The sequence below is a fragment of the Homo sapiens genome, chromosome 2, assembly GCF_000001405.40.
Source record: "Homo sapiens chromosome 2, GRCh38.p14 Primary Assembly".
Taxonomy (NCBI): Eukaryota; Metazoa; Chordata; class Mammalia; order Primates; family Hominidae; genus Homo; species Homo sapiens.
In genome coordinates, this window is record NC_000002.12 from 147,905,543 (window position 1) to 147,926,467 (window position 20,925).

The 20,925-nt window shown below is 35.3% G+C and overlaps 1 protein-coding gene across 4 annotated transcripts in view; it reads left to right on the plus strand.

The window, feature by feature from the left end:
- Nucleotides 1-20,925, plus strand: part of ACVR2A (activin A receptor type 2A) — an 86,306-nt gene that overhangs the window by 61,026 nt on the left and 4,355 nt on the right. For all 4 annotated transcript variants that reach the window (NM_001278579.2, XM_047446292.1, NM_001278580.2 and 1 more), the window contains 6 exons: nt 9,649-9,792; nt 11,741-11,884; nt 12,905-13,050; nt 14,688-14,802; nt 17,431-17,569; nt 20,489-20,619. In NM_001278579.2, the coding sequence (NP_001265508.1) occupies nt 9,649-9,792; nt 11,741-11,884; nt 12,905-13,050; nt 14,688-14,802; nt 17,431-17,569; nt 20,489-20,619 (819 nt within the window). The remainder of the gene's footprint in view (nt 1-9,648; nt 9,793-11,740; nt 11,885-12,904; nt 13,051-14,687; nt 14,803-17,430; nt 17,570-20,488; nt 20,620-20,925) is intronic.

Consider the following 20,925-nt stretch of genomic DNA (forward strand, 5'->3'; position numbering starts at 1 on the left):
CGTGAGCATTCTTTTGTGTGTGTGTGTGGGTGTGTGTATGTGTATGTCTAAGAAATAGTATAGGGCTACTATAGATGTTGTTCTGTGTCCTACCTTGGTGTGTGATTATTTTTGTATTGGTAACCTAAATTACAACTTACTTTAAATATATACTTCTAATTGTGGGGAGAAGTGTCATAAGTTATCTCGACATGCAGGTTGACAAAAAAAATTACTCTCATCAGGCATATATAATTTATTCCACTTACAAATGCTCAGACAAGGCCAGTTGGAGATTGTCTAAAATTCTGTGTCCAAAAGCAAAAAGGGAGGAAGGGGAGAAAGTAGAAAATTTAAACCTTTATCAATAGCTTAAAATAAGGTAAAGTTGCACATTAAAATTAATTAGTGCACCTTATTTCTAAAAGTGACTTCTGTTTAAATTTTGAAATCTTGAGTTCAGGTTTTCTTTGGCTTGTACAGGGTCTCGTCTGTCAGTTGATTGGTGCATATGGACCAGACTATATAATTTATCCTCCTTCTCTGGCAAGGAGATGTGTATTTAGGAGGAAGTGAGTTTGTTTTTTTCCTGTGTTCTTCATTTCCTGGACCTCATCCTAGACCTTGTTCTTTCATTCCTAGTTACTTCATTGCTGTCAAATCTTTTTTTTTTAAATTAAGATAATAGAAATGAAAAACGTCCCATTGTTAGCTAAAGCTGCTTGTAGCACATGAGCTAGGAATTGTTCAGGGTTTTCATTTTTGCTTAACCGCTCACTCAATGCTTGATTGCCTATGGTGTGCCAGGCACCATGCTGTGTGTATGGTAAAAGTGGCACGAGGACAGTACTTGCTTCACCTTCTGGGGCCTACAGTTAATATGTAGGTGAAGTAACACAGGATGATTGTTTGACTGTAGCCTGGAAATGAAGGGTAAAGAGTGTAAGAAGTGAGTTGCTTCAACAATTTTAGGCAAAGACTGGAGGAAGGGAGGAAAAATGTCTATTTCCAGATCTGTACTGATTGGGAGAGGAGCCACATGTGGGTGCCTAGCTAATGCTAAGTGCTCAGTAAGTATTCACTGTTATTGGTGTTAGAGTAACAGCTTCAAAATTGAACTCAAACAGAATCATTTTTACTGAAATTATTGTTGATATATGTTAATACTTTGAAATTAACTTGGTGTAATAAAAGATTCATTTTGAGTATTATATCAGGCACTATACAGATCACTTTACACATATTAACTCATTTAATTTGTTAGTACCATGGGGTTCTGTCCTGTTTATCAAGTCCATTTTTTTTTTTTTTTTTTTTTAACTTTAAATTCTGGGATACATGTGCAGAACATGCAGGTTTGTTACATAGGTATATCTGTGCCATGGTGGTATGCTGCACCTATCAACCCGTCAGCTAGGTTTTAAGCCCCACATGCATTAACTATTTGTCCTGATGCTCCCCTTCCCTTGTTCCCCTGCCCCTTGACAGGCCCCAGTGTACGTTGTTCACCTCCCTGTGTCCATGTGTTCTCATTGTTCTACTCCCACTTATGAGTGAGAACATGTGGTGTTTGGGTTTCTGTTCCTGGGTTAGTTTGCTGAGGATTATGGCTTCCAGCTTCATCCATGTCCCTGCAAAGGACATGATCTCATTCCTTTTTATGGCTGCATAGTATTCCATGGTATACATGTACCACATTTTCTTTATCCAGTCTATCATTGATGGGCATTTGGGTTGGTTCCATGTCTTTGCTGTTGTGAATAGTGCTGCAGTAAATATACGTGTGCATGTGTCTTTATAATAGAATGATTTATATTCCTTTGGGTATATACCCAGTAATGGGATTGCTGGGTCAAATGGTATTTCTGGTTCTAGATCCTTGAGGAATCACCACACTGTCTTCTACTATGGTTGAACTAATTTACATTCCCACCAACAATGTGAAAGTGTTCCCATTTCTCCACAGCCTCGCCAGCACCTGTTGTTTCTTGACTTTTTAATAATCAGCCATTCTGACTGTTGTGAGATGCTATCTCATTGTAGTTTTGAAGTCCGTTTTATAGATAAGAAAATTGAGGCATTCATAGATGAAGTGACTTGGCTTAGAGTCACCCTAGTGGGTGGCAAAGCCTGGGCATTTATATCCAAGGATTATTGCCCATTGATTGAATGGCTTATTTCAGTAAATAATTAAGTGGAGTCCATAAAAAAACCAAAGCAGGGGCTGGGTGTGGTGGCTCAGACCTGTAATCCCAGCACTTTAGGAGGCCGAGGTGGGTGGATCACCTGAGGTCAGGAGTTTGAGACCAGCCTGGCCAACATGGGAAAACAACATGGGGAAACCCCATCTCTACTAAAAATACAAAAATTAGCCAGGCATGGTGGTGCACACCTGTAATCCCAGCTACTTCGGAGGCTGAGGTGGGAGAATTGCTTGAACCTGGGAGGCGGAGCTTGCAGTGAGCCGAGACCATGCTACTGCACTCTAGCCTGGGTGACAGAGCAAGACTCTGTTTCAAAAAAAAAAAAAAAAGAAAAAAAAGAAAAAAAAAGCAAAGTAGGATAAAGAGATCAAAGTATATAAACTACATTTAAAATAGTTTTCATAGTGACTATATGTGGCCTTGTAGATAACCATTTTACCATCTCACAATTTATTCATGTGTAACATGGTTTATTTTCTGGTTTTTTCAGCTACACTTGCAGAATACAGATATGAAAATAAATCAAAATAAACTTCTGTAGCCAGTCATAAAACCTGATTCTTTTAAGCATCAACCCCAAAAAGAGAATGGGCATACCTACGTTTTTTTCAGACTTTTAACTCCAGTGCTGGCTACCTTGAGGTGCTCTACTTCTTAGGGAACATATCCAGAATCTTCATTTCACCTGCCTTGGCCTTTCTTTGCTTTCCTTTCAAGAGGAGTAAGATGAGAGAAACTGTAGGAAGTAGGAATTATCACAGAGGAATTTTGACGATCTAATTGGCTGGAATCATTGCTGTGCAATTGACATGTCAATACTGTTGAATCTCTTAATGTATGTCTTGCTTTCCTTAGTTCAGAAACATTGTCCTCGCATATACTGTATTATTTATAAATTCTGTTTCTATTCTGCTTGGCAGGATAGTCTTTTTAAAATTTAAAATGGTAAAATTTCTTAGAATGTAAAATAATTAGTTGATATTAAGAGGAAACAAATTCAGAATTTGTCAGTTTTCATATAGTTTGGATAGGAGGACCTTAATTCGTCTTGGTAGTCCTAAAAAGTTGTTGAGTGAGGTATCTCCACTCCCAGAAAAAAATCAGTCTCTCTCTCTCTAGATACAGAGATACAGATATTTCTTGGAATGGTTTGAATAGTAAATAAAAGAAATCTTATAACACATATCATATATACATATTTATAGTATATAAACAAAAATCTCTATTTTCTGGAAAGATTTTTTGTATTCCAGATCTGTGTATGTGTTTACTAAATATCTCCATTTATATGTCTCCAAGCACTTACCATTCACAGGTAGTGATTGTCTCTCACAAACCTGGTTCTCAGTAAATGGAACCACTGTCCATTTGGTTGCATAAGCCAGGAAACTAGGATGTCTCAACTCTGTTTTTCACCTTAACTGCTTCTCCCTAGTACTTACTCCATTTTTCAAGGGTGTTCTCCACAGGGAAATCTTCTCAGACTTTACCTGTCATTATAAGTCAGGTTTCTCTTTACAGATGTTGAAGGTACTGAATTCCTTTTTATTAGTGTGAATTGTTGATTAGTCCTTCTGTCCTGCACTGCTGCAAGCTTCATGAGAGCCTGGCTAGTCAGTGCCTGGCACAGACTAGTTACTCAGTAAAATTTGTTGGATGAATGAATGAATGAATGAATGAACTATTCTTCATTCTTTTCTGATATTTGGCAGTAGTTTTTTTTCCACCTCAGGGAGAAGCAACAAATCTTTTTCTCACCTACAAACCTAATAGCTTGATATTAATGTGCAGATTCGATTTTCACCGTTACCTACAGTTATAGTATATAATAGTCAAGCTACATTTTCTATGTTGTGAATCCAGAGTTTTGTTTGCTTTTTGCTTAGTTGTATATTTTAGTGCATTTTATTTTGCTTTATTTTTATTTTTGGAGATGAGGTATCACTCTGTCACCCAGGCGGGAATGCAGTGGCATGATCACAGCCCACTGCAGCCTCAATCTCCCAGGCTCAAGATGTCTTCCCTCCTCAGACATCCGAGTAGCTGGGACCACAGGCATATGCAACCACGCCCAGCTAATTTTTAAAAAATTTTTTTGTAGAGAAGGGATCTCCCTGTGTTGCCTAGGCTGGTCTCGAACTCCTGAGCTCAAAGATCCTCCTGCCTTGGCCTCCCAAAATGCAGAGATTATAGGTATGAGCTATCACACCTGGCCTTTAAAAAAATTTTGCTTTACCGCTCTTATTTTGTCATGTAGTTTATACATTGAGGACTGTTGCTGGTGTCTCTTGTTTGTTTATTCTAATCCTCATTTATTGAGAAGTGTATTAAGCAAACATATGTGGTTATTTTGTATTTATTCATGTACTTAAGTGAATGTATTTTTTTGTTCCGTTTTTACCCTTCATATTTTGTTGCATAGTTGATATTTTGAGGCTTGTTCTTGGTGTCAGTTTGGGTTATTTTATAGCTTATCCTAATGTTCATTTCTTGGGAAATGTATTGGGCAGAGACATACTTTTTGGTAAGATGTATGGATAGCACCTACTTGCACAGTGCTAGTATAGTGTCATCTTTATAGTGTCATCTTTATCTCTGAAAACACCTGTATTTAAACAAGATCTGAGAGATCCTTGAGCCTTTGGAAACCATAGTCTACTTATTCAGTTGGCATGTATTTCTTTCAAGGGATTAATTTTACTCTGGAGTACTGGATAAGATGTTTTGATAGTAGGATTATCTCAGCCTTTTGGATGAATTATAAATACTCTTGAATCATTATCACAGGAAGAAAATCTAGAAGGAAGAAAACTAGTTAAGCAACTGGTACAGATAAATGAGTTGTCCATTCTGTTTTGTCAGTGCTATTGTTCTCTATAGAAATATTGGAAACTGGGGAACATAGCCATCATCCATTGGAGGAATTCTCAGCCTTCCCTACCACTGGTGATCATATTTCTTTTAATTTTAAATTTAGACCCTTACCTATTTTGGGATGACTGGAAAAATGAAAATCCTGTTCTCTATCAGTGTCTGAGTGTCTTTAGAATGTGAGATGTGTGATTACTTGTTCCCAGGGCCACCTCTGCTTAACTGCTTCACCTTGATGTGCTGGGCAAGTAGGTTTGATAATATTCTGTCACTATGTTTTACTTAATTCTGATGATCTTGTTTTCCTGTCTTAGTTTCTTGCCATGGTGTATTATGGTGCACGCACATAGCCACCAGAAACATTTTTCTGTCTCACCATTATGATTCTGTCTTCCATGAAAGGGAAGTGAGGCAGTTCAGGAAATAGGAAATTCTAGAGGTTCTTAAGACAACTATCAGAAAGTCTGAGAAACTGATTTCTAGCTATATATAAATTTGTTAGGGCTGCTAGCTCGTTTTTGCTAAAGGCAATACTGCCCTCTAGTGTCGAGAAGGCAATTCCAATTTGTAAATTCCTTGTTTTATAATTTAGACTCTAGAGGCTCTTAGAAAAATAAATAATCATTATTTAAGACTTGATTTAGTTTGTTTGCAGGCATGAAGTCATTGGATCAGTTAACTTGGGATTAAACTGGAGTCAAGAATTTGTTTACCACCTATCTCTCATATCTAAGGGGTTCTTTTTGATATTACTTTCCTCTGTTTGTAAGGAAAGTGTTCCCTATCTTTATTTAAACAATGTAAAACTTTGGATCATTGCCAACTTTTAAAATACTAAACCATTATTCTCTTTCCTTCACTTTTGTAACTGATGTGTCATTTTTCATTTCATTCTGGATATGAATCGTAATTTCTTTTGCCTGTGTTTTTTCTTCACAAGCACGCCTTTCATATAATGATAGAGGTAAGATGCATTGATGTTTGTTTTATGGTTGTGGAACTTTCTGTGGATGCATACTAAACATTTTGTTCTTAGATTTTTGTTGTTGTTACTGCTTTACTGTGCATCCTCTATAATTTATATATTTATGTCATAAAGGGTTCTCCCTCACCCAGCTTTTATAATTAAAATGTGATTGATTTGACTTAGGAATGGCTTTTAGTTTTAAGAGACTGAGAGTATTTATATTTATTTAAGGTAGGATGTAGAAAAAACCGTTTTACTTGATTAGAAGTTAACACCTTAACGGCTCCATTCGCCTCAAAAACCTTGTATTGGTTAATTTTTATATGTCATTAGCTTAAATGTCAGCATGTGTTCATTTTTAACAGGGGTCGATTTTCTAATCCAGCCCATTGTATTTAAATGTGAAATAGATATTTTTAGATAGCTTCATCTTTGGCATCTTTAGCAAATGAACTAGCTACAGGAGTATAACTTTTGATGATATTTTGCTATCTGAGGTTTAAGCGTTTAATTAGATTAAAATTCACCCTTCAAATGGAGAACTCAGAATAAGTAAAATGATCAGAGATGACTTTGTAGCTTCCCACCTCTAATAATTTATTCCACTGTTGGTTATAGTAATGATATTGGGTAGTGGTTTGGGGGCAGGAGATTACTTTTTACCAGGTTATCATTTCAGTATGTGTTCTGAAGCTGATGTCTTCTGATACCATAATTTTTACATATAAATGAGTAAAGAAGAAATGTAATCAGAACTGTGTTTGAATGCATATCTTTTTAGTTTTGCAAAATAGCATGGATGTTGTAAGAGAACTGGAAATTTAGGGAAGTTTTTAGGAATTCTGAAATCCTTCTAGGTGCCTCTCAGCTCCCCATTGGTTTCTCTATGTAGCCAGGTAAAGCCATATTTTGTGTATGACATCAGAAATTGCTTGTCATTTTGAAATTTATGTCTACATTTGTCTTCCCAGGGGCTCATATATTTTAAAGGTATACATTTTTATTTTTAGAATCAAGTATTGATTTTTTTGTGAATAAATTACTATAATGATGCCAATTAATTGAAAATCATTTCTACTATTATAGGATGAGTGAAACTTACAGATGAATTTAAAGTTTCATTCTAGTAATTTTTTATTTAAAAAGGATTAGAGATTTTATAATCTGTCCTACAGTTATCATTTTTGAACCCAATCCTTTGTGTATTAAAGAATATTATTTAAAATTCCATTTTTGAAAAGCTCATGTCATTGCTAAAGGTTTTGAGATTCTACAGGAAGACCTTGTAGACCTTTTTGTCACCCTTTCGAAATTGACCAGTATTCTTTCTAATTGAAGCTTTTACCTTTTAAGTAATTTTGACAACAATATTTGTTCTGGCTGTTACTATACAATATTGAATAAATTATAGTAGGAGGGTGATCTAAGATTATTTCTTTCTGAAATAATGATAGCTTAGAAACTTGTTAAACAGAGCCTTGGGAATGTATGGGAACTTGAAGTATATGCATTTGGAAAACATTTAATGAACTTTTTTTTTTAATGTAGATATTAAAAATTATTTTTTCTAAAATTAATGTTATACTAAAATCATAGTTTGAATTGCTGACATATTAATTGTGGATTAAATAATCTATATCTTACAGACTGAATCATATTCATGTTGTTGATGTCCTTTAGAACAGAGAATGGGTAATGTGTAGATTAACTATAGAGACATTACCAGTGTACATAAAAGCTATTAAAAATCTTAATATTGTAATTTAGCACTGTATTCCCTCTACCTAGTTATTTTTCCTCTTCAGCTTTCAGCCATTTTCTGTATACTTTAGTTTTTAGTTTTTGGCATCCCCTCTGGTTTGAAACCTATCTCTCTACCTTTCTAACATTTTCTATTTAGTTTAAATATGTCTTTATGCAGTTATACAATAACTCTTTGCCCTTGAGGACTGAATGGTTTCCTTTCCTGTAGAAGAGTTGTTTTCAAGCTTTTTTTCTCTTGTCTCCACATTCATATAAGCAGTCTGCTCTGATCAGTAGAATTTCTCGGATAGAGGTGATCACTTGAAGAATGAGGGAGGGAGGGTGTAGTTTTTAATAAAAACTCTCTAGAGGTTCTTGTGTCCCCTCCACTGAGAATCACACTTGAGAGCCCATCCTTCCTATAAGATTTATATCTGACCTCCTTGACCCGTCACTCTGCTAAACAGAAACGTTCTTTCATGTTTTGAATGTGGGAAGGACAAGCAACTTGTAGACAAAAAAAAAAAAAAAAAAAAAAAAAAAAAGTCTGAGTTTGAAATGAGTCACAAGAAGTCTTTTGTTTTATCTTACTGTTTAAACAGGAATTCTAAAGCCATTTTATAAAGATGGTTTCATTTAGAAGAAGAAATTGCATGTTTTTCCTACATAACACCTTGCAATGTTTCTGTTGCTGAGGTTCTTTCTAGTACACAGTAAACTTTTAAAACTCCTGAGTGGCACCAGTGAGCTGAGTGATGCCTAAAGAAAGCACTAACTGTCTTTGAGGCATTAGAAGAAGAGAGAAAAAGAAAGGCAGAGAGGATGCATTGATCTGGGATCACATACCATTTCCAAGTGTCTGAGGTGCCACCCAGTGTCATCATATCAGTTGCTTTTGCCACAGAAATTTTAGTTCCTCCTCAAAATACTCATTATGCAGCCCTCCAAACCCTTCTGTTGCTTTTCTCTGGAAGCTTTCCAAAAGGCTTCCTGCATCTTGCTTTAGTTGCAGATAGGGAACTGAGAGAATGCTTTCAATGGAGGGTTGCATTCTGCTTTGATAGGATTTCCTTGTGATTTGTAGATGCTGTATTCCTATTTATATATTATGTTTGCTCTATTTTTAAAAAACTATAGCAGTGCACGTTTCTTTCATTTACCATATCCTGTTATCTACTATGATGACCACTTCTTTTCTGGATTTTTATTCGTACTTCTTTGCCAGTCAGTCAGTTCCAGAACACAAATGATTTTTTATCTCAGATCAAAGGGATGAATTGTTAATATGTTTAAAATTAGAATGAACCAGTTTGGTTAAAGAAATATTTACTTACATATTTCCTGTATGTGCTTTGTATTTGATATACCTATCTGCAATGTGTTTAAGAATGACTGCCGGTATCTCTGAGATTAATGAAGAAAAAATTTAAACAGTCACTGGAGAAAGTAATAGATCTTCAGGAGAGGTTTTTGCTGATATATAGTCATAATTTGCTGTTTCTGGCACTTTTCAAATCATCCTCCTCGAAGTACACACTGGATGAAACAAATGAAATATTGTTAGGAGTATTTCGTAGTTCACAGAAAATCTTAGTGGGGAATATTACTGAGACTGATCAGAAAGATTTTAGATCTTCTCTCCTGTGGTACATATATAGCAATAATGCTGAACATTATTATGAAACTCTGAATTCAGGTTGCCTGCCTTGTGATCACTATAGATAATTAGTAATCTAATTATGGCAACATTGAAGTTAATGTCATTCATATGTGTTTACTGTTTCTGTCAGTTGACTTTTCAGTATACTCACTTTTTTTCTCATTTTCAGAGTTGGTGTGTGTCATGTTCTGCTTATTTATAGTATTATTATTATTTATCTGTAGGACCCAGGACCACCCCCACCTTCTCCATTACTAGGTTTGAAACCACTGCAGTTATTAGAAGTGAAAGCAAGGGGAAGATTTGGTTGTGTCTGGAAAGCCCAGTTGCTTAACGAATATGTGGCTGTCAAAATATTTCCAATACAGGTATGTTTATTGCAGTTTTGTCATCTTACATACATGTTTTATGGCTAGGTCATCATAACTCAGAAATAGTCTCAAAACAGAAGCCATATGTACCAAGGTGGTTCTTTGTGATACTGGGGAAAGCAGTTAGCTCTTTTAATGCCTGCCTTTGCATCTGAGAAATGGAATTGTTAATATAACAATCATTATGTTTGTCTGGAGTGGTGGAATTAAATGAATGCATAGTAGATCTTTTGCCAGTGAAAATTCTAATAGAAATGTTAAATAAAGATAAAGATTCCAATAAACAAGTCTAATTGAGTGGTTAAATTTTAATATCCCCCTACGTTGTCAGAGAAAGCAAACAAAAAAACAAAAGAGCAGTATACTTTGTTTTAGAATTGGTATTTAGAGGTATATCACCAGACTTGACTTACTTTCATTCTACTTTGAGTGTTTAATTATTTCAGTTTTTGTTTGATGCATTTTCAGAGGCAATCGAGACTTCAAATAATTGGTTTACTGTTGAATTGTTTTTAAGGTTGGCTGGACTTCTCATAAAACTCTGATCTAATGTACCTCTGAGCTATTCTTGTGTTTTGTTTTGTTCCGTTGGTGGTATAGATTTATGATGATTCTGTCTTCCCCATCTCTTGCTTATATACCCTGGCAGCTCATGATACCCTTGGTACTGACGTCTTGGCTGGATTTGGTGTTGCAGGCTCTACCACCATACTTAGAGAGTGGATGTTTCTTTTTCCAAAGTTATCATATAAGCAGTTTCTTTGTCTTAATATACCTAGATTTTAACCTTTTTACCTCCTCTGTTCAATCTTACCTCCTCTGTTCAGTCTATAAACTGTTTACATAGAGTTTATGAACTGTATTACATTTTTTTTTGGTAGCTGTAAACCACAGTTTAGTTTTCAGAGAGAAAGTGTATTCTGTTGTGCCAAGATTCATAAATAAGATAAGGGAAGAAATTATTTCCATGTGTAAGGAAGCATAAAGCTCAGAGAAAGGCATTTGGATGATATTAACAAGCCCGACAACAGCAACAACAGTAGCTAACATTTTATTGTATGCTTTTATTGGGTCAGGTAGGGGTGTTTTACATATATGAGTACTCACTAATATGTGTACGTATATTACCCACATGTACATAAAATGCAACATATAATACAACAATTCTATAAGACAGACACTACAATGCCTTTTCTACTTAATGAGGACACTGAAGGATTATGTAACTTGCCAGAGGTTAGTGGGAGAGCCAGGATTTAAGTTTGGACAGTTTGGATGCAGAGAGTTTCTAAGGGTTTCTAACCATTATGCCATAGTGCCTCTTACTATTATTGTCTTTTAGTAGTGAAAAGAAGCTAATCTTTTATAAGTAGATACTTAGTAGACATGGATTGCTTGCAGGCACAAGTGAATATATGGTGTCTTAAATTATTGCATTGCATATCTTTGCCCCTTGCTTTCTCATAGACCTTGTAGGGTATGCTAAACATTTTTTGAAGGATGTTTGATATTATGTTAGTTTTTGAAAAGAAGAAGTTTTCTATTTAGAGGAAGTCATTCTGCCGGAATTTCATCTTTCAAGGAGATTATTCTGAATAGTACCACAAGTAACTTCACACCATGATGAAATTACAGTGTAATACTTGCAGTAACTTACGTGTTGCCATTGTAAGACACAGAATGCAGCATTTCCGATCACCTTCTGTGTTTGTAAACTAGAAACACAGAAAAGTACGTTTTGAGGGAATGAAAAGGGCAGGCATTTAGTATAAATTTGTTAACCTATTGTCAGAGCTTTTTCTTATTACAAAACAGAACAAAAAATTTTTTAAGACTTTTTTGTTTTGTTTTGTTTTACTTTGGAACTTATTTGAGTAATCTCTTATGCATGGTTTATTAAACCTGTATTCCTTGTGTTCTTACTATTCTTTCTTTTTGACTCTAGGACAAACAGTCATGGCAAAATGAATACGAAGTCTACAGTTTGCCTGGAATGAAGCATGAGAACATATTACAGTTCATTGGTGCAGAAAAACGAGGCACCAGTGTTGATGTGGATCTTTGGCTGATCACAGCATTTCATGAAAAGGTAAAACTACTTAACGTTTTACTTTAGTAAAGTCTGAGTTGGCCTGCCTACCTAATGCTGGCTATAAATCCCTCAGAGTTATTTTTCGAGACATCTTATAGTTGATTAATATTTAACCTGAAAATAAAAATCATTCTTGAATAAAAATGTTTTAAAAGGTAGTTTATTTTAATAAAAGAGCAAAGATGGCAACTTTTTAACCTAAAACTCTACTCATATAAACCACCCTTTTGTTCCTTATTTCTTGTGCTGTAATTACTCTTACAAACATTTATTTTAGTGTAGGTAATGCTTAGTAATTTTCATTTACCATTTACAATTCATTTTGATTACGTGAACCATTTTTTTAAGTTTTAATCAGTCTTGCTTGTGACAAAACCAGAGTCAGGAAATTTATCTGATCTTTGATCTGTCACTAACTTGCAGGGTAATTATCACCAAAATGTAATTGCTAGTTTTCCTCAATTTTTCTACTTTTAGAGTCAGTGTGAAAGTACCATTAATGAAGTAGGAAATTATGTTTTTGGTAATTGGTTTCATCATTGTGAAATGTAAGTGGTTCTTTTACTTCTCTTATCTTGACCTAAAGGACAACAATAATCTAGAGGAATATTCTACATATTAGTTGTTATTTTATGTTGTTATTTTGTGTTCTGCTAGTCCCATGATATAACAACTCTATAGTCAGGATATTTTAACTTTTAAAATATTTTCTAGAACCTTAGATTTTCAACTAGTCTTTAAAAAAAAAAAAAAACAAACTTGTCTTATAGATTGGTGGAAGTTGACTATTCTTGTAACAAAAGTTTAAAGCTCTGGTATTTCCTTCTGGTCAAATGTTTATTAATGTGAAATGGAAGGAAATTTGAACCATTTGAACCATTCCAGAAAGATTGTTTCTTGGATATTATTTTTCCCTGAAAGGGAAACTCACAACCTCTTATAGGTAAAAAGAAAAGTCTCCTTATACATATGGCCTTTGTCAAGAACATAAGTTTCTTTTTTTCCCTCTTTTTTTAGGGTTCACTATCAGACTTTCTTAAGGCTAATGTGGTCTCTTGGAATGAACTGTGTCATATTGCAGAAACCATGGCTAGAGGATTGGCATATTTACATGAGGATATACCTGGCCTAAAAGATGGCCACAAACCTGCCATATCTCACAGGTAGACTAAATTTATATTGTTTTCCCAGATAATTGAGTATATATTTACTAAACTTTTAAGCCCCTGGGTAAATTTTAATTTTTCCTTTGTTATGCAATCATGCTTTACAAGACAGTCAGTTTTCATTTGTTTTTTAAAATTAGCTTTGAGATTGGCCAGGAAGTATTTTGGATAATGTATATGTTAACATTATTGGTAAAGTTTAATGATCTACTTCATCTCATTTCTGAAAGCATGATTGAAAATAAACTATATTTTCTCGATCTCAAAGGAAAAAGACATTTGTTTTACCTCAAAACATGATTTATCAATAGGGATTATTATCCAAGGGCATGTAATGAAGGAGAGACTTTGAATGTCTTCCTTGCTTGTTTTTTGAATGACCTTATCTGTACCCTGAGCCAAGTCTTAAAGGGAGGCATCACTTAAAACAGTTGTCCAGTGAAGAAATACTACTTAGACCCAACAGTTGTCATGCCCGCAAAAGGAAAAATGATTGTGTCTTAAACATGGAATTCAGTTTGCCATGTATTTAATTTTCTTGAACGTGGGATTCAATTTGTTGTCTTGTGTTCCATTTAAAGATGGTTGTTTGAAAAGTAGGCATTAACTGATTCACAGAACAGATACTTAGCTGAGTGCCACCAGGCGATGTTTTAGGTTGCTGGGAGGCATTATTGTAAGTCAGCCTCTAATTTAGGTTCTGATTTTGCAAACTTTAAATGACGTCTACCTCAGAAATAACTCTTCTCACTTTCTTACATGCAGTCTATTGGCCTCGTCTTCGATTTTCCCTTGCCCTACCTGGTCACATAGGGAATTAATCCTTAAGGACCCCCAAAGTTATTAAGGGCCTGAAAGTCTTTTGAAACTAAGATCGATTAGCTTTTATAGCATTTGGGAGTGTCTGCTTGTGCTTTCAGTATCCCATTATTGGTCTATATGTCTGCACATAAATTTAACCACTAGTCATTGGCATAGATGTATTTAACTAGGGTATAGTAATCTCTAGGATGAGCCAGTTGAGACAGGTGTGTAGAAGAGGATATCTTACTGCCTTAAAACTGTTACCCTTTTCAGAACACCAGGATCTAGCTAGAGCAGTGTATGTTTATGGTAAAAAGTTTCTGTTATTCATTCCATAAGATGCTTTTCTACAACCAGGTGGAAGAATATAAGAACCTCTATAATAAGGGATTATTCTAAAATGTAGGTCTCTACCAATAAGCAGAAGGCCCCAATTCAGCTATTTTTTAAAAGTTTCTTCATTTTGGTTTAAAATTTCTGTTTCTATGGGAGTTTGCAAATCAGAACTCTGAGATATTAACAGTAGTTTTATGATTGGTAGGTGGGTGACATAGATAACATATCTTTTTGGTATGGCAGATTTTTATATAACTGCTTTATAGGTAGGATTCCTTCTTATTGTCCATGTTATGAATAGGGGTTTGTCACCGTGCTCTTGTGTTTAAGGCTGCATGGGGCTCTGAGCTTTGTTTGTCTCACTTTCTCTGCATTTCATAATTTTAAGTAACTATTTTTTCATAGTGTACATATTCCCCCTTTTCTGCTTTCAATAAAAAATTTAAAAAGGTAACTAGTTTAAACTTAATTTGAATACTCTTTTTATTTGCAAGGGACATCAAAAGTAAAAATGTGCTGTTGAAAAACAACCTGACAGCTTGCATTGCTGACTTTGGGTTGGCCTTAAAATTTGAGGCTGGCAAGTCTGCAGGCGATACCCATGGACAGGTAAGGATGATGATTATAAAATGTAAGAAAAAATAAACTTGTTCCATATTTTCTTAGAATGGCATGTCAGGACTGAATTAGTCTAAAATTGTTGTGGTGTTTAAATCAGCATCTAATAGAGTTATCAAAGTTTCTGAGGAAGACATTTTCATATGATGGTAGAGGACTCAGGTGGTTTAGATCAAGCACTTCGTAAAGCAACCCTTAGACACACGTCATAGGATTCTTTTTGAAAAATTGATCAAAGAATAATCCACCACCTTTTAACAGACCTCATTCTTAGGGAATTCTTCGTATGAACTCCGTAGTTTTAGTCTGTTAGTTCTTTCACCATCTTAAGAAGAGTGGAAGAATAATTAGTCACTGTCCTTACTACAGTGTATTAAGATTTCCTGTCCATTTTCCCATGCAATAATAGTTTATTGCTTCTTGTTGTTTATTGCTTCATTAATTTCTTTAATCAACTTGATGGCTTTTCTCCAAATTCTCTCCAGAGTTCAGAGCACTTGTAAACCCCTGAATTAGGTAACTCTTCACACCTCTGTATATATCCATATGCACAGAAATCTTAGTAATGGGAACCTCTAGGAAGGCCAAAAGGGAAAAGAACATTATCCATACAGTTTATTCTCAGAAACTTTGAGGCTGGAAAAGATGTTTTCATTCCTGCAAGATCACCTTTTATTTTTATTTATTTATTTATTTTTGAGACAGAGTCTCGCTCTGTCACCCAGGCTGGAGTGCAGTGGCATGATCTTGGCTCACTGCAGCCTCTGCCTTCCAAGTTCAAGTGATTCTCCTGGCTCAGCTTCCTGAGTAGCTGGGATTACACACATGCACCACCATGCCCAGCCTAATGTTTGTATTTTTAATGGAGATGGGGTTTCACCAAGTTGGCCAGGCTTGTATCGAGCTCCTGACCTCAAGTGATCCTCCCACCTCGGCCTCCCAAAGTGCTGGGATTATAGGCGTGAGCCACCACGCCCAGCCAAGATCACCTTTTAATCAGGGAAACCAGTTCAACCTAAAAGGTGACATTTTCTACAAAGCTAAATGGTTCAGGCCTTCGACATTATCATTTCTTCATCTTTCATATCATGTAAATTATTTGGCCAACTAATTCTTAGGTTTCTTTTCCCCAGCATATCCTATTGGTTCCTGAGGACACGTTTTTAATGTCATGGCACCACCAATTTTGGCAGTATTGACTAACTATTTAAGAATGTAGTTTGGGGTAATGGTCAGTAGCCATATAGCTCTAGAAAAGTTGACTGCAAATGTGTATGGGAATGGAGGCAATTTTGTGGAGAATACTACCAAGATTGTGTAGGAAGCCTGAGGACAAACTTCTAAGCTAATTGAATGATAGACTATCATAAGACTAAATTCTGGGAACATATTCTTAATTTGGTACCTCATAAGCCCTCCCTCATTTTTTGAGAAAAAAAATTTCTGACTCATTCATGTCATATTTTTAACTCCTTCACAACTGGGTTTTATGATTAGTTAAAAATTATTGGCTTACAGTAATGACTCCTTGACTTTAGATTTCATGGACCAGAAAATTTCAGAAATATTTGGAGGGACTTGCATGTTATTGCACATTTTATATAGTACAAAGAACACATATAAAAGAGGGAACATTTTATGTCAACATGGTAAATAAACCATAATCTTACAATAAAAGAGGTAGGTACCTTGGATGGCATACATTTACCTGTAAGAGAAAAGTAGGCTTTAGGGAAACATTCACTGATAGCACAATTAAAATAATTATTCTGAGTAGTAAATTTTTTAAAAGTAGAGCCACTTTTCCCTTTAATGTGTTCTCCTTGAACTTTAGTCTTAGTGATCTGTCTTTATTCTTAAAAAAAATCTTTACATGTATATTTGCATAAATTGCCCAACTTTTAGTCTAGAGTAGAGATTATAGCCACCTAAGGATGGAGCGTTATGGACGTACCAATATCTAGACTACTCTCTAGTTCGAATACATCGCAAGTATGTTGTGATGTACCCAGCTATCTCACAAATATTTTTAAGCATTCATATATGAATGTTGTCAAGCACCAACCAAAGCTAGCTGTACTAGCTTAGTAACCATAGTTACAGTACTAAGAAATACCAAATTGTTGGGGACAGTTATAAATAAAGGACTCCAAGACAGAAGAATTTATGAATAAACAAATACATAGATTTTGTACAGATAGAACTTTTTAACATCAGTCTGTCCTTTACTTAGCTAATTCTTTTTATAACATTTTATTAGTTTTTTTAATACAGAGAAAAGACCTCAAAAAAAGTTTTTTTTTTAAAGCTACATTTCAAACAGTATGCAAAGGTACAGTTGAAAAGTATGCAGCATCCTTCTCCCAGCTGACAATTGGTTCAGTTTCTTGTGATTACATCCAGAAAGGGGAACATAAAAACTTCTAAGTCTGTACCAGCATAATGTCTGTTGATATATTTTTTAAGTATACGCAGAAAGGATCTTTCTATTTATACGCTATAGTGTGTATACCTTACCCTGGTAATAGACCACATTTGGTTTTGATTCATCTTACAAAATCATATGTTAGTTCATAAAGTTAATGAATGAGTACTCTTTGCTTTTAACATCTTTTTCAGGTTGGTACCCGGAGGTACATGGCTCCAGAGGTATTAGAGGGTGCTATAAACTTCCAAAGGGATGCATTTTTGAGGATAGATATGTATGCCATGGGATTAGTCCTATGGGAACTGGCTTCTCGCTGTACTGCTGCAGATGGTAAGGGAAAAAAATATTTTTAAAAAAGATATATATGCCTACCACACATATATGAAAAGGGATGATACACTCCAAGGTAATATTTTAAAGTACAGTTTTTTTTTAATTGACTCCAAGAGATGGTAGAGAATTCAGGAGGCAGGGGAGCAGTGGGTGGGGTAGGAGAGGAAAGGAATTGCTATGTATTGATCCTTTACCATTACTAGCTATGTTGCTGGACACTTCACATACCTTAAGGTTATTTCCTAAAACGGTTTCAGAGGTAGTTATTATGCTTTACATATGAGGAAATTGAGATGCAGAGAAATTAAGTAGTTTGCCTACTTTAGCCTCAAACTGGTGAATGATGAAACCTAGATTTGAAACTCTGATCCAGACATAGGGAGAGGTCTGCTTTAAGGTCATATGGGTCCTGCCCCCCAGGTTAAAGGGTTTCTATTACTTGTTCTTGTTATTGAAGTCCATGTTCAAGTCTTATAGATATTTGCTTTTATTTATTTATTTTTCTGGGTAAATTTTCAGACGATATTTCCAGTGTGACAGAACTATTTTAGTGTTTCAAGCACTGTCTTTAGTACTCCTTCATAAGGTCTTTACTCTGTCTTCAAGTATGTTGCAGCATTTTTTGTTTTGAATAATATAAGGCAAACTTGCCGACTGCTAAACTCCTAAACAGATGTAAATGAGCTTGATCTGTTTCTTAAGTTCTAATTTATAATTGCCTAAAAACTTCCTGTGATTGTCAAAGACCATAGAAGAAATTGTGAATATTTTAAGTTATAACCAATGTAACCTATGTTACTAACAATATTTTATTTTCTGAGTACTGTAATAGGCTCTCGTTGTAGGACAGACTGCCACTGGAATATGAAATTCAATATAGGGTACTATTAAAGGGAATTTAATAGAGTGTTCAGAAATGGGCATTCTTCCAGGATTGAGGGATTGGCTTGGGAGTCAATGCCAAACCTAAGAAAAGTTGAAGCAATTTTGGAATAATTTCAGAAGTCTTTAGGAAGAAGCGTTAAGAACGCAGAGTGTTTTGACTCTAAGAGGAATGACATTTATGATGTGCATTTATGGAAGCAGAAGTAGGTTAGATGGCAGATGTTATAGGAAAATATATTTTATAAGAACTTTATTAATATGAACTCTCCATAACAAATCATTGGATTAAGTAATTTAGGAGACACAAGACCTTATTCTCAAGTAATATACAGTTTAGTTAGGGCAATAAAATATATCCTGGACAATTAACTCTAGAGTAAGTTAAGTGTGAGTTGTCTGGCCCATTCCCCAGTACATAGGTATTCAATAAATGTTTCTGGGTTAGTGCAATACTTAAGAAATACAAGCATGTGTTTTAGGAGTTTAGGGGAGAAATTGCTTTGTTTATGGGGAAGAGAGGTTTCAGAGAAGTTCTTTTGGAAAAAGAAAAGGCTAGATACTGACTTTTCTTAAATGCCATGAAATAATTTCAGAGTCAGGCATTTCTGACTCTTAAGTCAGAACCCAATTGTTAAGTCAGAAATTGGGGTAGAGAGGATAGTGTGAGCATTGATTGCTAAAGTAGGTGCTTTCACGTGTGTTGATGGTTACTTGTTTGTTAAATGAAGTAATTCTCAAACTTTAATGTGTCATACCAGATTCTTAGGAATCTTGTTAAAATTTAGATTCTGACTCAGTAGGTCTGGGTTGAAGCCTGAGAGTCTACATTTCTTAAAAGCTAAGCTACCAGTTGACGGCAGTGTTGCTGGCCTGTACACCACATAAGTGTTGAATAGACACCTTAGAATGTCGGTACTTTGTCACTGGAAGTACTCAAGCAGAGACCAACTGTCCAGCCATAGATAATTCTTATATTTGAAGAGGGTTAAGTTAGATGACCCCTTTATGATTCATTGTATTCTACCCAGGAGTATTTAGTGCATTTCAAGAGCTTCACAAAATTTGTGTTTATGCACACATACATCTATCTGGTCACTGATACTGCTCAGTGGTGACCTGTGTCTGTCAAAGGAAGGCAATCCAGTGATTAAAACCAGACTTCAGAGTTATTTAGAGAGTTGGGTTCAATTCCAGCTCTACCGTTTAACAGCTGTATGTCTTTGTGCAAATTATGTAACTTTTCTGAGCTTCTTATCAGTAAATAGAGGTACTGCCATCTTAACCCTGTGAAGTAAGTAATATATGTAAAGTTTCTGATCAGGATAGGTGCTTACTGGATGTTAGTTATTATTAACTCCTAAATACAATTTTCTATTTATCTGAGTAGGCCTAAGAAAAAAGGAATTATTTATGTTGTTTAATGTTGTCTATGAAGGCACATCCTGACTTGTTGGGACCCCTAGTTGGAGAGCCTGTTTGTGATTTTCTAAAAAATAAACATGTACTTTTTGGCAGCTGTTGTGAGGGAGTGTAGAGAAGAGGTATGACTCTGAGGTGCATAATTCCTCATGTGGGGCATGCAGGGGGTTTGGATATGCCATAGAATAAACATGGTTATAATAGATTGAACCTAGAGCCTCCAGAGCTGGAAGCACCACTGTTAACATTCTGATCTGAATTGTAAGGAATGGGTACCTTAAAGGGATATTATATAACGTTAATTTACAAATACTGATTGTTCCTTATGTCCTCTGTGCAGATGGAAATAGGCATCCTTTATACCTAGATAAGAAAGCCCCTTATGCAATCTTTAAGGGAATTACATGCCAAATTATAGGCCTTTTCATTTCCCATACATTAGTTTGGTCACACTGTGGTATAAGTACAGTTGAGAGTCTGTTTCTCTTCTGTCCTCATAGCATGTAAACAGTTGGGAATAGGTGACAGAGTATATTTTAGAAAGTTTGTACCAGTTTGAAAGTCAGGAGGATTTTAATGAAAATGATTTATTTTACTTTTCTTACTTTTCAGGACCTGTAGATGAATACATGTTGCCATTTGAGGAGGAAATTGGCCAGCATCCATCTCTTGAAGACATGCAGGAAGTTGTTGTGCATAAAAAAAAGAGGCCTGTTTTAAGAGATTATTGGCAGAAACATGCTGTAAGTTATCCAGTTAGCTTTTCATTTGAAATTCCAATAAAACACTTTTCAGAGGAATTATTTATCTCTGCACATTTCTCTTTCTTCTGCAAGTATTTTCTGGAAGGTGATCTTCACACAGGATATTCTAGAGTTCTAGAGGCAGAATTAGGGCTATGTCTGTATACCCCTGAAGGTGATTGTAAAGTAATAGAGCTTTAGAGGGCTTTTGTCTCAATGGTCCTGTGCAGAAGATTGTGTCATCTATTTAGAAAGTTTCCCAGGGAAAAGGCATGCCAGACTCGGAAACTGTGGATAGTTGGGTAA